General features: G+C 55.9%; 1 protein-coding gene across 50 annotated transcripts in view, besides 4 other annotated features; it reads left to right on the top strand.

Annotated features, from left to right (window-relative positions):
• Nucleotides 1–15,643, top strand: part of TCF3 (transcription factor 3) — a 43,324-nt gene that overhangs the window by 2,607 nt on the left and 25,074 nt on the right. For all 50 annotated transcript variants that reach the window (XM_047439298.1, XM_047439297.1, XM_047439296.1 and 47 more), the window contains one exon: nt 3,582–3,654. In XM_047439298.1, the coding sequence (XP_047295254.1) occupies nt 3,582–3,654 (73 nt within the window). The remainder of the gene's footprint in view (nt 1–3,581; nt 3,655–15,643) is intronic.
• Nucleotides 354–853: an enhancer, noted in NCBI's record as "H3K4me1 hESC enhancer chr19:1649155-1649654 (GRCh37/hg19 assembly coordinates)". NCBI's record gives its function as "activates a minimal SCP1, AML or CMV promoter by ChIP-STARR-seq in naive H9 embryonic stem cells {active_cell/tissue: H9 hESC(naive)}" and the evidence as "EXISTENCE:reporter gene assay evidence [ECO:0000049][PMID:30033119]".
• Nucleotides 866–1,175: an enhancer, noted in NCBI's record as "active region_13621". NCBI's record gives its function as "activates an Ori minimal core promoter by ATAC-STARR-seq in GM12878 lymphoblastoid cells {active_cell/tissue: GM12878}" and the evidence as "EXISTENCE:reporter gene assay evidence [ECO:0000049][PMID:35858748]".
• Nucleotides 1,516–1,785: an enhancer, noted in NCBI's record as "active region_13620". NCBI's record gives its function as "activates an Ori minimal core promoter by ATAC-STARR-seq in GM12878 lymphoblastoid cells {active_cell/tissue: GM12878}" and the evidence as "EXISTENCE:reporter gene assay evidence [ECO:0000049][PMID:35858748]".
• Nucleotides 2,406–2,495: an enhancer, noted in NCBI's record as "active region_13619". NCBI's record gives its function as "activates an Ori minimal core promoter by ATAC-STARR-seq in GM12878 lymphoblastoid cells {active_cell/tissue: GM12878}" and the evidence as "EXISTENCE:reporter gene assay evidence [ECO:0000049][PMID:35858748]".

The raw sequence follows: 15,643 nt of genomic DNA, 5'->3' as shown, positions 1-15,643 counted from the left end.
ACAGCGCACGGCAGCACGTGTGCTATGGGGCTTTTGCCCGGACGCAGCATTCTACAGCCTACTGCTTTACAGATGGGGAAACTGAGTCCTCAGGGGCATGGTCCTGGGCCCCCAGCTTGGCTGGGTAAGCAAAATGCGGCCTTGATCTTCTGATCTGTAAAATGGGCCTGATCAGGGTCGCTTACCTCATTGTAGATACAAAAATTAAAAGTAAGTAAAAGATCACTGCACTCCAGTCTGGTTGACAGTGAGACCCTGGAGACCCTGTTTCAGTAAATGGGAGGGGGGCTGGGCACAGTGGTTCCCACCTGTCATTCCAGCACTTTGGGAGGCTGAGGCGGGAGGATCGCTTGAGGCCAGGAGTTCCAAGTCCAGCCCAGGAAACATAGTGAGGCCCCATTTCTCAAAAAGACAAAACAAAACTCAAAAAATTAGCTAGGAGTGGTGGTAGATGCCTGTGGTCCCAGCTACTTGGGAGGCTGAGGCAAGGAGAATCACTTGAGCCCTGGAGGTTGAGGCTGCAGTGAGCTGTGATTGCGCCACTGCACTCCTTCCTGGGCGATAGAGTAAGATCCTTCCTCAAAGAAGTAAAGGAGGGGGTGCCCAGTGCTGAGCGGACCACCCTCCGTGAACAGGGCAGACACAACCTGCCCCATACGGGACTCCCCTGGTGGGCAGAGGATGCGGGCATGAAACTGACTGTGTGGTTAATTAGTCACACGTGGGTGCTGAAGTTAAGCTGCCAGAAGCCGAGCTTGGGCCAGGAGGAGGCTGGATTGGGATTGAGTGGGAATTCATGGGCCACCGAGCAGACAGCAGCGCCACCATTGTGACTGCCACGGTTATCACTGCGGAGCAGGCAGGCCCGGTGGGGAGGGCGGGGCGGCTTCTTCAGAGTCTTAGGTGGTTGGATCTGTCCCTGTACGGCCCATTCTCCACCTGGGTGAACGGAGGCTCAGAGGGTGCTGGTCCTCAGAAGTCACACAGTTCAGGCAGGTGCAGTGAGGCTGGAATGCCGGAGCCCCCTGGGGTACCGGCCGCTGACGGGTGCTGTAAAGGCCCGGGGCCTCGGTTTGCCTGCTGGTACAGTGGGGCCATGTGTTATGGGTTCCTGGAGAAGCCCAGGGACCTTGGTTTGTTTCTTCTGGCCTGTCTACAGATGTCCTTAAATTCTGCTCCCCCCCCCCCCCCATGCCCAGTGGCAGCGTTTGGGGTTGAAACAGGTTGGGGGAGGGCACTTTCAGTCTGAATTTAACCCTCCCGCCTATGAGGCACAGGCCACTGAGGTCTGTCAAAAACAAAAGTCCCCAAACTGAAACAACACCGGCCACCCTGCGGAAAAAAACAGCCCAAGGGCCGGAGGGGCCAAGGCTCCGGAAGGGCCATGCTGGTATTTTTAAGCCCCGTTTTATTTTTGCTTCCCTGGCTGAGTAACCCGAGGTGCAGTTGGGTTGTTTTTTGTTAAACTGACAAGTCACAGACCGCTGGGCTGGAACAGACCAGCGTTTGGGGGGAGGGGGCACAGGTTCAGCCCCAGGACCTGACTCCTCACCTCAAGCCACTCAGCACGTCTCCCCATCCCGGGTCGGAGCCGTTCCCAGATGAGGAAACAGGCTGGGAGCGGCGAGGTGCCCGTCCTCTCCGGGCGTCCCCCCTCGGGCTTTACCCAGAGGTGGAGTTCCACCTCCCTGGCCAGGACGGGGAGGCAGAGGCAGCCCCTGTGACTGCCCGCATCCCCACTCTGTTCCTGCATGCCTGCCTTCTGCCCCTGCCGAGGCTGGGTCCTAGGGGAAGCACTTACTTCCCTGGACCAGATGCGTATAAAGTGAGAGAACAGGGAACTCCAAATAAATACGAGGGAGAACGCTAACCCAGGCTGTTCCCAGCGCGCCTTTGTCCTGCCCTGACCCAGGCTAGCTTTGGTCGGGAACGAAGGACCCGCCAGCACTGGCCTGGGCTGACATGCCCTGCCTGGGTCCCAGGCAGTCCCTGGGCCTGAGTCAGGGGCTTCAGGAATGAAGGGGGAGCGAGTCCCTAGGACCGAGGCTGTTGGAAGCGAGCTCCCCAGGCCCTGCCGCGTGCGAGACTCCCATGGGCTTTTGGGTTTCACCACGTCCCACACAGCCAGAGCCCTCGGTCCATTTCTCAGAAGAGGAAACTGATGCTCCAAGGGGTGCGGGGGCTGTTCTGGGCTGCTCATGAGGCCTGCAGAGCCCACAGGACACAGCCCGGTACCCATGTGACCTGTGGCACGTTGGTGCAGCCCTGGTGTCCTAGGGGACAAAGCAGATAGAAATGCAGTTGGCTGTCCCCCACAGCAGGCCTTTGTTTCCCAAATGAGAGGTTGGCCCTTGGAGGTCTGGGTCCAGGGGAGGCTGGGTGCACCGGAGCCTGCGGGAGGGGGTGTGGTCCAGGGCGAACACTGCCTTCAGCGCGGGTGCCACCCCTACCCGCAAGACCGTTCTTCCTCTCCAGGGCCAGGTGAGAATGCGGCCTCCGTTTCCCCTTCTGCAGGACCAGGGAGTGGGGGACAACCCCGCTTCCTGGGTCCCCTTTGGACCTGTGGATCGTGGCCACAGGCGCTGTGCCTTCGCCTCCTGGCTGGCTGGGGAAGGTGTTGGGGATCTTGGCTGCTCCTCAGAAAGCCCCTGGCTCTGATTCCAGCCACTTTGATCACTTAAGCCCCGATGGGAGCCTTAAAACGCAGCCCCTTGGGGCAGGGCGGAGGCTTGTTGTGTTTTTTTCTGTGGCAAAAGGGTTTGTTGCCGTTGGCTTTTCCGGTTAATGCCGCTGAGCCCGTTAATCTTTAGGGACTTAGTGTTCTGGGTACGGGTGAGCCGGGCGGGAGGGAGGGTGGCAGTCCCACACCCCTAGCACCCAGGAGCTGGATCAGCTGTGGGGTGCAGCCTCTCCCCAGCCCCTCCAGCTTCCTGCCGGGCCCGGGGCTCCATCCCGTGTCTTCCTCGACCTGCTGCCTGTCTGAGCCTCGGCTTCCCCTTTTGCCAAGCAAACCCATACCCAGCCCTGGTAGGGGGACACTGGGCCCTACCCCCCGCTCCAGGGACCCCCTGCTCCAGGGCCTGCCATGCGGGGCCAGTGCACACACAGGAAACGAGGAGTCAGCCAGGGCTCAGGCATCCGGGGACTCTCCACATGTCCACCTGTTGAGTGTAAACCTCTCACTTTTCAGAGCTGAAACGTAAAGACAACTTTGTATCACTGTCAAGAGCTGATAAGTTGTATCCTTCGCCTAATGGGATACCCCTCCCCCCAGAGCAAAGGCAGGGGGAACAGCGAGTTTTCAGCGGCAGGGACTCTGCCTGGCGGTACAGCGGGGTCATCGTCTGGAGTTTTCTCACTCTGGGCGTGGGTGTCCAGGGTGCAGCGTCACTTGAGGGCACGCGAGTCCTCAGAGTCTTCTGGTCTGTGATGGGGCGGAGCAGGACGGGCCGGGCCTAGATGGAGCGCAGTCTCAGGTTCCCGGGTGTCCCCAGCTCTGCTCCCAGCTTGGGTTTGAACCCGGGACTGTAGGGTTTGGTTTGCCACCCGCCCCGCTCACGTCTCCCCTCCCCTCCCTGCAGATGTTCCCGCTGCCTGTCACCAACGGGAAGGGCCGGCCCGCCTCCCTGGCCGGGGCGCAGTTCGGAGGTTCAGGTAGGACCCCGCCTTCCTGCCAGCGCTCGTGGAGTGAGGAGATCAAGGGTCTGTTGAAGACAGTGTGCGGGCGAGGGAGGCTGGGGCAGCAAAGGAGGGAGACAATGGGGAAAGGGCCACACAGGCCGGGTCGGGGGCAGCGAGCCTGAAGACCCCTGAAATCAGCTGCCGTTGCCCGTGTGACCTGCCTTGGGAGCCCGAGCCCCTGAGCCCCTCGTCCCCTCGTCCCTCCCGCGCCTGGAGCCTGGGTCTGGGGGCTGGGTGGGGCTTGTTTTTAGGCGCAGGGTTGGAGCTGGGCCTGTGTGTGGGTGGGGATCTCGAGCATCCGTTTCTCCAGTCAATCCATAAGGGGGAAACTGAGGCTCTGGAGAGGGCGTGGTGCGGGATCCCGGCTCTCACTGGATCCCACCCACCTTGTGAGCCTCGACGACTTTCATTTAAGCAGGTATTAGGCGCTTGCTGTATGCAGGGCCCAGCACCAGGGTGACCGGCCATTGTGGTTTGCCCAGGACTGAGGGGCAATTCCTGGGACCCGCGGCTTTGAGTGCTCAAAGCAGAAACATCCCAGGCTGACCTGGATGAGCGGGTCACCCTCGCTGATGACACAGCAGTGGGCGGGACAGATAGGGGAGACGTGGGGTCCTGGGGGTGGCCTGAAAATCACACTCTGGAGCATGGGCAGGGCTTCACGGCACACCCAGCGAGGGCCAGGTTGCCCCAAAGCGGGACCTCTAGTGAAGGTCTCCGCAGAGGGCGTGTCGGGGCAGAGCCCTGAGGGTGAGAGGAAGGGGCCGTGGGAGCATGAGGGGAGGAATTTGCCAGGCAGAGAGAGCAGCCCGTACGGACGCCCTGCGGTGGGACCGGCCGGCGGGGCGGGCTAGGGGCGCTGTGTTCGTTGCAGGGGCAGCGGGGAGCCCTGGATGGTTGTGAATGGAGAGAGGGTCTAGTCTGATGTGCATTTGGGCGGCCCAGGCTGGCTGTCGACAGGATTTGGTGGGGGAGGTTGGGGCGGGTGCCCCCGATGCTGCTTCAGAGCCACGGGTCTCTTTGTGGACATCAGCATCTTTCCGGGGAGTGGGGGCCTCGGGTTGGGGCCTCTGAAGCTGTGTCCTTCCTGCCTCCGGGATCTGGGTGGAAAGCGCCGTCCTGCAGTTATCTCCAGAATCCCCCAGGGGTGGGCCCTGGCTGGAGTGTCGGGGTTTTGAGTGGTGGGCAAAGGGGGTTCTGTACTTGGGCACTTGCACCCCCACATGGAGAGACATCGCTTTGCTGCCCCCACTGCCTCACACTGGCCTTCCCCTCTACGTGAGGAAGTGGCCACAGGGCTGGCCGGAATATGCTCCCTGAGGCGTGGAAATCCCCAAACGCCACCCTGCCAGCCCCCCGGAAACAGCCCCAGGAACCGGACATGCTAATGCTTCCCTGTGTGAGGCAGAGGGTCAGGCCCTGGGGGCTTCCTGGAGGAGGAAGCGCAACTCCCAAGGCCGTCCACCCCCATTCTCCTGGGCCTCTGGGTGGGCTTACAGCAGGGCCTGGTGGGGAGGGTGGGGTGGGAGGTGTCTTCCCTCGTCCCCTGTCGCCTCTCACCCCCTCAGCCCTGGCACGGACCACTGTGAGATTGGTCCCTGGGTAACCAGAGCTGTGGTGTGTAGGCCGTGTGGACCTGAGAATGCTCCCTCTGGGTTGCCTCTCCCTGGACGCCCAGCCCGGTCCCAGCAGGAACCTGCCAATGTTTGCAGATGTATTTTCTGTGGTTCCCACAGAGTCTCGCCCTGTGCTCCGGCCCTGCCCCAATGCTGCAGGTTGGGAGGGTCTCGCCTTGTCCCCTCACACGTTAGGGCGGAGGCTTTGGAGGGCCCAGTGAGGCCCAGTATGTTGCATTTTTTGCCCTTGAGGGACGTGATGTGGCTGCTCCAGCCTGGGACCCCCCAGCTCCTGGACACAGAGGGGTGACCCCCTCCCCGTTCAGTCCATGCAGTTAACGCCCGCCTGAGCCCGGGGGTGGTGGAGGATGCAGAGCTCCAAGGCCTGAGTTGGTGGCACCCTCCTCATTGCCTCCACTCCCCCAGGCCCCTGCAGGCTGTGGCGCTGGCCCCAGGTGTGGCCCTCCCGAAGCTCCCGCAAGATGGGCACCTGCTCTCTTCCATCGTCAGGTTCAGCGAGTCGATGGGTGCGAGGGGCGGAGGGATCCCGGCAGGGCCCAGGAGCTGCAGTAGCTCATTTCCCCGCTTCCTGCTTCTCCTCTCCGAGGACCCAGGAAGAGGGGAGTTTGGGGCTCATCAGCAGGATGGAGCCCCGGAGCTGTGGGATCCCTTCCCAAACCTCGGCTTCTTCCTGGAACAGTGGGTGCAGCTTCCTTCCAGGCGGGGCCTAGTTGGCTTCGGGGACGCCACCCTTCGCCAGGAGTCCCCAACGCTGATGGCTGATGGGGTACCCCAGCCGCATTCTCCACCTTGGCCCCTTCTTCATGTGCCCTGTTCTAGCTCCCTTTTAAGTCACCTCGCTTTTCTTAAGTTCATTTGAAAGGAAACTTTAGATTTGAGAACCAGAAACCCAGGTGAGAATAAAAGGTGTCCCTGAAAATTAATTAAACATAAGTTTTCCCCTGTGAAGGGTCTGCCTGTTCTTCGATATTTATAAATATTTAAAAATTGGTGTCGAGAGAGGAGTTAGGTACTGGGCAAGGTGGCTCACACCTTTAATCCCAGCACTTTGGGAGGCCAAGGCAGGAGGATCGCTTGAGGCCAGGAGGTCAAGGCTGCAGTGAGCTATGTTTGAGCCACTGCGCTCCAGCCTGGGTGACTGAGAGACCCCAACTCAAACAAACAGAAAAGGGCCAGACACAGTGGTTCATGCCTATAATCCCAGCACTTTGGGGGACCAAGGCGGAAGGATCGCTTGAGCGCAGGAGTTAGAGACCAGCCTGGGTAACACAGCAAAACCTCATCTCTACTAAAAATACAAAAATTAGCTGGGCGTGGTGGCGCACACTTGGGGTCCCAGCTACTCGGGAGGCTGAGGCAGGAGGATTGCTGGAGCCTGGGAGGCGGAGGTTGCAGTGAGCTGAGATTGCGCCACTGCCCTGCAGCCTGGGTGACAGAGCCAGACCCTGTCTCAAAACAGAAACGAAACAAAAAAGGCATTAGAGATTAACGAATAGGAAACCAAGATTTTCTGGTTGTCTGGATCGGAAGACATTTAAAACGGGAATAATTTTCGTACGCCTTCTCCCACCCACCGCCTCCCATTTTTGGAAACCCTCAGGCACAGGTCTCTGAGTGACAGCCTATCTTCTGCCAAGACAGACAGGCTCTGAGGCCACGGGAGACACCAGGAAATTGCTTATTGACGGACCAAAGGAAAGTTCTTTCCTATTTTTCATTTCCCCGTCGCTTTCTCTGTCCGTGCGATTGTAAGTGTGACACACGGTCAGAGTGAAAATCCACAGAACGGCACCTCCGCGTTCTGCTTTAAGAGGAAACCCCGGGAGAACCTGGCGCATGGGTCATTTCCTCCGGGTGCGTGTCTGGGAGTGGAATTGCTGGGTCCCTGGATGCTTTTTCACATTGAAAGCGTCCCTTGTGACCGGGCGCGGTGGCTCAGGCCTGTAATCCCAGCACTTGGGAGGCCAAGGCAAGAGGAGTACCTGGGACTAGGTGTTCGAGACCAGCCTGGCCAACGTGGTGACAGCACGGCCTGTCTCATTTAATAGGTGACAAAGATCGTGTCCTTTCACCTGCCACTTGTTTAATAGAGGGCGGTGGTCTTCTCGGAAGGGGATTGACCCTGTGAATGGCTCTCTGGTGAATTTTCTGTTACTCTCTTGGGCCCTCGTCCTTGAAGTTGATCCACTTTTTATTCTGAAGTCTTTCGGGATTCACAGGAAGTGGCAGAGTGTTCTCCTCTCACCTAGCCACCCCCAGGGGTACCGTCCCGCCCACCCGTGGTGCTGCGTCAGACCTAGGAAGCCGACATTGGTGCCGTCCACAGATCCTGATCAGATTCCACCGGCTTTACACGCACGTGTGTGTGTCTGTGTGTGCGTGCGGGTGTGTGTCTGTGCGTGTGCGCGTCTGTGCGTGTGCGTGCGTGTGTGCGCACGTGTGTGTGCGTCTGCGCGTGCGTGTCTGTGCGTCTGCGCGTGTGTGCGTGTCTGCGTCTGTGTCTGCGTGCGTGTGTGTACGCGTGCGTGTGTGTGTGTGTGTGTGTGTGTGTGTGTGTGTGTAGTTCTGTGCAGTTTTGAGACATGCACCTTCTTTAAGCCCAGGAATCACCAATCTGTTCTTCATCTGTACGATTTTTTTTTTTTAGGGACCAGGTCTCACTCTGTTGTCCAGACTGGAGTGCAGTGGTGTGATCATAACTGACTGTAGCCTTGAAGTTCTGGGCTCAACTGATCCTCCCACCTCAGCCTTGTGAGCAGCTGCGACCACCTAATTAAAAAAATATGTATTTTGTAGAGGGCTGGGTCAGCGGCTCACACTGGTAATCCCCAGCACTTTGGGAGGTTGAGATGGGAGAATTGCCGGAGCCCAGGAGTTCAAGACCAGCCTGGGCAACATGGAGAAACCCTGTCTCTGTTTAAAAAAAAAGAAAAATTTCAGCTGGGTGCGGTGGCTCACACCTATAATCCCAGCATTTTGGGAAGCCAGGGTGTGTGGATCACATGAGGCCAGGAGTTCAAGACCAGCCTAGTCAACGTGGCGAAACCCCGTCTCTGCTAAAAATACAAAAATTAGCTGGGCGTGGTGGTGCGTGCCTGTCATCCCAGCTACTCGGGAGGCTGAGACACGAAAAGCACTTGAACCTGGGAGGCGGAGGTTGCAGTTAGCTGAGATTGCGCCACTGCACTCTGGCCTCGGGGACAGAGGGAGACCGTGTCTGAAGAATAAAAAAATATTGTCTAGATGGGGTCTTGCTGTGTTCTCCAGGCTGATCTTGTATTCATGAGCTCAAGTGATCCTCTTACCTCAGCCTCCCAGAGTGCTGTGATTACATGTGTGAGCCACTGTGCCCAGCCCAATTTTTCACTTTGAGTATTTTGTGTAAATGGAATCCTATAGTTTGCAACCTTCTGAGATTAGCTTTTATTCTGTTACGTTAGCATAATTCCCTGGAGATCCAGCCAAGCTGTTGGCTGTATCTTTTTTTTTTCTTTTTATTGCTGCCTCATTAACTTTTTTTTTTTTTTTGAGACCGAGTTTTGCTCTTGTTGCCCAGGCTGGAGTGCAGTGGCACGATCTCAGCTCACTGCAACCTCCGCCTCCGCCTCCGCCTCCTGAGTTCAAACGATTCTCCTGCTTCAGCCTCCTGAGTAGCTGGGAATATAGGTGCCTGCCACCATGCCTGGCTAATTTTTTGTAGTTTTAGTAGAGACATGGTTTCGCCACGTTGGCCAGGCTGGTCTCAAACTCCTGACCTCCAGTGATCCACCCACCTCGGCCTCCCAAAGTGCTGGGATTACAGGCGTGAACCACCGCGCCTGGCCGCCTCATTAACTTTTTAACAACATCAGTAATACAACAATTTACATCACTTTTTTTTTTTTTTTGAGACGGAGTCATGCTCTGTCACCCAGGCTGGGGTGCAGTGGCGTGATCTCAGCTCACTGCAAGCTCCGCCTCCCAGGTTCACGCCATTCTCCTGCCTAGCCTCCCTAGTAGCTGGGACTACAGGTGCCGGCTAAGTTTTTGTATTTTTAGTAGAGACGGGGTTTCACCTTGTTAGCCAGGATGGTCTCCATCTCCTGACCTTGTGATCCGCCCGCCTCGGCCTCCCGAAGTGCTGGGATTACAGGTGTGAGCCACTGCTTACATCAGTGTTTCTTGAGCACTGTGCATTGGACACAAAGCTTGGCTTATTCACTGGGAATTCTCAGTTCTAACAGGTTAGCGAAATAGGTGTAATTATTACCGTATTTTACTGGTAAAGAAGCTGAAACTTAGAGAGTTTAGTAACCATTGCGCTAATTTTTTGTATTTTTAGTAGAGGCAGGGTTTCACCGTGTTAGCCAGGACAGTCTCGGTCTCCTGACCTGGTGATCCTCCCGCCTCGGCCTCCCAAAGTGCTGGGATTACAGGCATGAGCCACCGAGCCCGGCCTCATTTGGCTGTTTGATAATGTTTGTAGGCGCCTGTCTGTCCACCCGTGCCAAAAGTGCTGGGATTCCAGGCCTGACCCTCTGCGCCTGGCCCCGTTCGGCTCTTTGATAACGTTTGGAGGCGCCTGTCTTTCCACCTGCGCAGGGAGGCTGAGGGCGCCGCGGTCCTCAATGCGCCAACTTTTAGGTGGTTTCTTTGTTCTTGACTCGGCTGCCCTGTGCATTTTCTCTCTCTCGTTGATTTTTCTTCTGGAGAATCTGCTTCATTGGCAAATCGATATTGATCAATTGATCAATTTTCCTCTTTATCGGCATTTCTTCTCTTTCTAAAGTTTTTGGTGACTTTCAGATCACAGGCCCCTTTTGCTGACTTCTGCCCTCTTCTGTTCCATCAGTGTGGTGTTGAGGGTTCCACCCCGTGAACCCCATCCCATTGGTTTCCATAATGCATGTTTTTCTCATATTACTGACATTTGTTCCTTTTTTTTTTTTTTTTTTTTTTTCCTAATTTCCTCTTCAGGTCAGGTTGCTTCAGAGGTTTCTGAGTTCCAAGTTGGAGGTCCTTTCTTGATTTCTAGATCTCCAGTGCCAAAACTCAGCTTTGGCTTAAACGGTAGCTACTGTTTGGAGGACGCAGAGCTCCTCTGCCGAGGCTGAAACATGGATTATTTTTGTCCTTCTTTGTGAGTACTTGAGGGATAGTTGGATGTGGAGCTGCGAGGCCTTTGAACCATATTTAGATTTTTAATCTGTTTAATGTCAGGCTGAGAGCAGCGCCATCCCCCTCTGTTCTGTTTGTCGGTTTCTCTGTTGACGTATTTAGATGCCAGGATTGTGGGCTTGTGTGGGCTGAGACAGTGGGATTTCGTTGTGGGTCGAGCCATTGTCAACAACAAAAAAATCCGTTCCTTGGCTGGTGGTGGTGGCTCATGCCTGTAATCCCAGCACTTTGGGAGGCCAAGGCAGGTGGATCTTCTGAGGTCAGGAGTTCAAGACCAGCCTGGCCCACAGGGCGAAACTCCATCTCTACTAAAATATAAAAAATTAGCCAGGCATGGTAGCAGGTGCCTGCAATCCCAGCTGCTCGGGAGGCTGAGGCAGGAGAATCACTTGAACCTGGGAGGCAGAGGTTGCAGTGAGCTGAGATCGCGCCACCGCACTCCACCCTGGGCGACACAGCGAGACTCTGTCTCAGAAAAAGAAACCTCCCTTGAATTGAAACTTCGATATGAAGGTTGCAACCCTTCCTTTTTGTTGGTGTGGCTTGGCAGATCTTTGTGCTCCTGGTTGTATCTCCTGAGTCGCTTGTTTCAAAACTGTCTTTGGTCGGCACCGTGTTTTCAGATTAAAGACGTTAAGCACCCGTCCATCTTCGTTCTCAGCTTTTCCTTCCATCGTCTTATTTTGTTTTTCCATCTGTGTGCTCCCAACTCCGGATTGCTTCCCCCGGTGTGTGTTTTCTGAAGCTCTGTACCGCTTTGCGGCTCTGCCAGTGGTTCTTTTCTAGTTTTGAATAACACGTTTAAGGCCGTGATTGAATAGCGGTTAGTATTCTGCGTTGTGAAGAACACGTTTAAACACGCCGTTTCTCGCGCTCTCAACGTCCGAAGTGAAATCGCATCTGCCCCCTTCTGTGAGAAGGTGAAAATTGAGCCTGTATATTTCTCTTCCCTGCTGGTATTTGCTACCAATAAATTGCTACTTTTAAAAAACATTGTCCGAGGCCAGCGGATCATGAGGTCAGGAGATCGAGACCATCCTGGTTAACACGGTGAAATGCCGTATCTGTTAAAAATACAAAAAAATTAGCCGGGCGCGGTGGTGGGCGCCTGTAGTCCAGCCTGGGCGACAGAGCCAGACTCAGTCTCAAACAAACAAACAAAAAAAACAAAAAAACATTGTATCTGTTCATAATTGTGTATTTGCATCTTACTAGGAAACATTTGTATCATTAAATAGTGACTTTGCTACTTACTGTGAGGGCTTGAGCAAATGGCATCTATCTTTTGCGTCAGTTTCCTTATCTGTAGGGTAGGGGTAATGTAGCCACTGCAAGGATTCAGTGAAATGAGAGAGAACTCACAAAGTGCCCCCAGAGGGCTTTCCTTGTGTGCCTGTCTTGTTACGGCTTCTAGGAATCTCTTGATTCGTAATTAAATGTGCTCACTGTCTACTTCATTCCATAGAACCCCCAGGCTCTGCCATTTCTTTGAGGATCCATGGGGCTTACAGGCTTAAGACAGTCTTCTCGTTTTTTAGGGTAAATCATTGAACTTCTTGAACTTCATCCTTTTTGTTCCATGTTGGGTTCCCTCTTGTGTCTCTTTTTCTTTTTCTTTTTTTTTTGAGGTGGAGTCTCGCTCTATTGCCCAGGCTGGAGTGCAGTGGCACGATCTCGGCTCACTGCAAGCTCTGCCTCCCGGGTTCGCGCCATTCTCCTGCCTCAGCCTCCCGAGTAGCTGGTACTACAGGTGCCCACCACCACGCCCAGCTAATTTTTGTATTTTTAGTAGAGACGGGGGTTTCACCCTGTTGGCCAGCATGGTCTTGATTTCTGGACCTCGTGATCCGCCCGCCTTGGCCTCCCAAAGTGCTGGGATTACAGGCGTGAGCCACCGTGCCCGGCCCCGGGTTGGTTTCTGAGCTTGTTTTGAGGGGCAGGTTCTCCGGTCCCCACACTCAGGTGTCACTGGTGATGCCCATAGACATGGAAGCAAGAGCGGGATGGGGTCTCGGTTATCTCTGTGGTCACTGAAATTCAAAGCGGGGCCCTGTTTCTCTGAGTTGTTACTTAACATCTGTGCTCGATGCCCACTCTCGGGGCCAGCTCTGCCCTCCAGGGAAACCCCAGGGCCTTGGGGGAGCGGGGTTGCAAGGCGCCCCTGCTTCTGGGGGAGAAGGTTGTCCCTGGTTCTGGTGGAGGAGGTTGTCCTCGGTTCTGGTAGAGGAGGTTGCCAGGCATCCCCGGTTCTGGTGGAGGAGGTTGCCAGGCGTCCTCGGTTCTGGTGGAGGAGGTTGCCAGGCGTCCTCGGTTCTGGTGGAGGAGGTTGCGAGGCGCCCCTGGTTCTGGGGGAGGAGCTTGTCCCTGGTTCTGGTGGAGGAGGTTGTCCCCGCTTCTGGTGGAGGAGGTTGCCAGTTGTCCCCGGTTCTGGCGGAGGAGGTTGTCCCCCGTGCTGGTGGAGGAGGTTGCGAGGCGTCCCCGGTTCTGGCGGAGGAGGTTGCCTGTGTTGCCCGCACAGCCTCACTGTGCCTCTACCCGAGGGCACGTCCTGCCACTTTAGGTGCTGTGGGGACCCCCACTCTTAGGGTGGTGTGTGGTCTCCACTCACATTCTCTTCAGCCTCAGGTTTGTCTGCTCGCGGGCGGGCCACAGGGCCCTGCTGTCCCACCCCCCATCGCCAGACATTAGAGGCAGATCGAAGTGGGAGGCTTTGCGGGATCTCGTCAGCCCCCCAACAAGGAAGGGCTCTGTGGTGCCCCAGAAGCATTTTCTCCCCCACTCGGGATCCTCCTCAGAAGCTGGGAGCATGTGCTACACAGCCTGCGGGCCCTGACCAAGAAGACACGACAGGAAGATAAACCCAGGGCGGCTGCAGTGCGCGAGCTGGGCCGAGGGCATCCTGGTCTTTCATCTTCTCCCATAGCTTGAATTTAGATAAAATGGAGGCTGTGCACGCCTGTGACCCCAGGGCTTTGGGAAATACAAGGTGGGAGGAGCGCCTGAGTCCAGGAGTTTGAGACCAGCCTGGGCAATGTAGTGAGACCCCATCTCTACAAAAAAATTTTTTTAAATTCACCAGGCGTTGTGGCTCATGCCTGTAATCCCAGCACTTTGGGAGTCTGAGGCAGACGGATCACTTGAGGTCTGGGATTCAAGACCAGCCTGGCCAACATGTATGAAACCCCGTCTCTACTAAAAATACAAAAATTAGCTGTGCGTGGTGGCAGGCTCCTGTAGTCCCAGCTACGTGGGAGGCTGAGGCGGGAAAATCACTTGAACCCAGGAGGCGGAGGTTGCAGTGAGCCAAGATCGCACCACTGCACTCCAGCCTGGGCAACAAGACCCTGTCTCAAAGCAAAAGAAAAAAAAAATTTTTTAAAATACTGCTCCACCCAAGGAAAGGCCACCCCCGGATTCAAACCTCTGTCTGATCTCACCCGTCATGACCCCCAGAGGGGCTGGGAATGGGTCTGAGAAGCATCACAAGCTGCAGGGGCCAGACCCAGGCAGGGCGGTGGGACAGGCTGCCATCGGGGTCCTTCACGATTTTAATTATAAGGAGGAAGAAGAGACGGGGCGAGGCACGGGCTTGGGGGGTCATAGTGACCCTGTATCGGGTGGCCCGCTCCTACTCCCGAGTAAACGGAACCTGCGTGAGGAGCTGTCGAGGTGTTAATTGGTTTTTAGACGTGACCGTGGTATTTGGTGGTGGCTGTTATTTCATTTGCTTTTGGGGACTGGGTTGTTCAGTACAGCAGGCATTAGCCATATACACATTTTTAAATGTAATTTTTAATGTGCTTGAAAAAATGCTGGCCACGTTTCCAGCAGTTGGTAGTGTGGTCCCCGTATTGGACAGCAGAGGTGGAGAATATTTTGATCCTCCAGGAAAATGTTCTTGGAAGCACAGTTATTTATGAGTAAAATGAAGACGTTGAGGGTGGGTGTTTTGGGGGCGTCAGCTGTGTTCCAGGCAGTGCTGCAGACAAAGAGGGGTCCCAGGCTGGGAAGGGGCTCAGGCAGGGGGTGTGGGTGGGGGTCACCTCCTGTGTTGGGGAAGAGGAGAGTGGTGAGATCAGGAAAGAGTTTGGTCTTTATCCTGAGGACGGTGGGGAGCCATGAGAGAGGGTAGAGGGAGGGAGAAGAGCCAAGTTTTGCTTCTAAAGGCTCCATCCGGCTGCCTGAGGATGTCAGCAGACTTGGAAGGAAGCTGCTGCAGGGACTGGGCTTAACCCGCTGCTGTAGCTATGGGGCAAGCTGCTGTTCTTTGGGAGGAGGGAAGGTGAGGAGGACTCCCAGGACTTTAGCCTGAGCACCTGAGTGGGGGCACATTGCAGAGCTGGGGCTATAGGATGAAGTCCCCAGGCCCATCTGAAGCCAGACCACCTGGTGGTGTGCCTGAGGGTTTGGCAGGGGCGGTACACAGGGCTGTGTTCAGGGCCCGTGTCCACCAATAGTTTTGCCTGCCCGGCATGGTAACCCCACTCCTGGTACTGAAGTCTGTCGATTGGGTTTCTTGTGCAGAGGCAGCTGAAGGCACTTGGACAGTCTTTTTCTGTATCAAGGTCAGCCAGCCTTCTCCGGAAAGGACCAAGGAGTGAATATTGTTGGCTGTGCAGGACAGATGGTCTCTATTGGAATTGATTCAACTCTACTGTTGCAGCAAAAGCAGCCGTTGATAGTACATGGACAAACGGGCATAGTGTGTGCCAATAAAACTTTATTTAAAAAGCAGCTTAGGGGCCAGACTTGGTCCTTGTGTACTGTTTGCAGATCCCTGCTGCAGACCAATCTCAGTCCTACCCGGTATTTACTAAGCGCCTTTTGAAGCCTCCCTCTCCCATTTGCCAACGAGCCACCAGGCAAAGACCAGTCCCCGGTCCCTCTCAGGAGGGGACCCAACAGGGACCGGGACTGGGAAACCACCAGCCTGGAGCATTCCTTGGCTACGGATGGCCTCTCTGAAGCAGCATCTTTCATTGTTATCCTCACGGCAGCCCAGGCAGGTGGGCGGCTTCCACACCCCGTGACTGGAATTGGAACTGAAGCCCAAGGGGTGGGCCGCTCCTGGGGCCCTCTCCCCAGCGCCCCTGCGCCGTCCACTCGCAGGCCTCTCCCGAGGCAGCCAGGCTGGCCCAGGGCAGGAAGGTGCCCTTCCCGGGTAAAAC

This window comes from Homo sapiens, chromosome 19 (genome assembly GCF_000001405.40).
Source record: "Homo sapiens chromosome 19, GRCh38.p14 Primary Assembly".
In the NCBI taxonomy this organism is placed as follows: domain Eukaryota; kingdom Metazoa; phylum Chordata; class Mammalia; order Primates; family Hominidae; genus Homo; species Homo sapiens.
The sequence above is the reverse complement of the archived record's forward strand: the minus strand, read 5'-3'. Positions and strand labels throughout refer to the sequence as shown.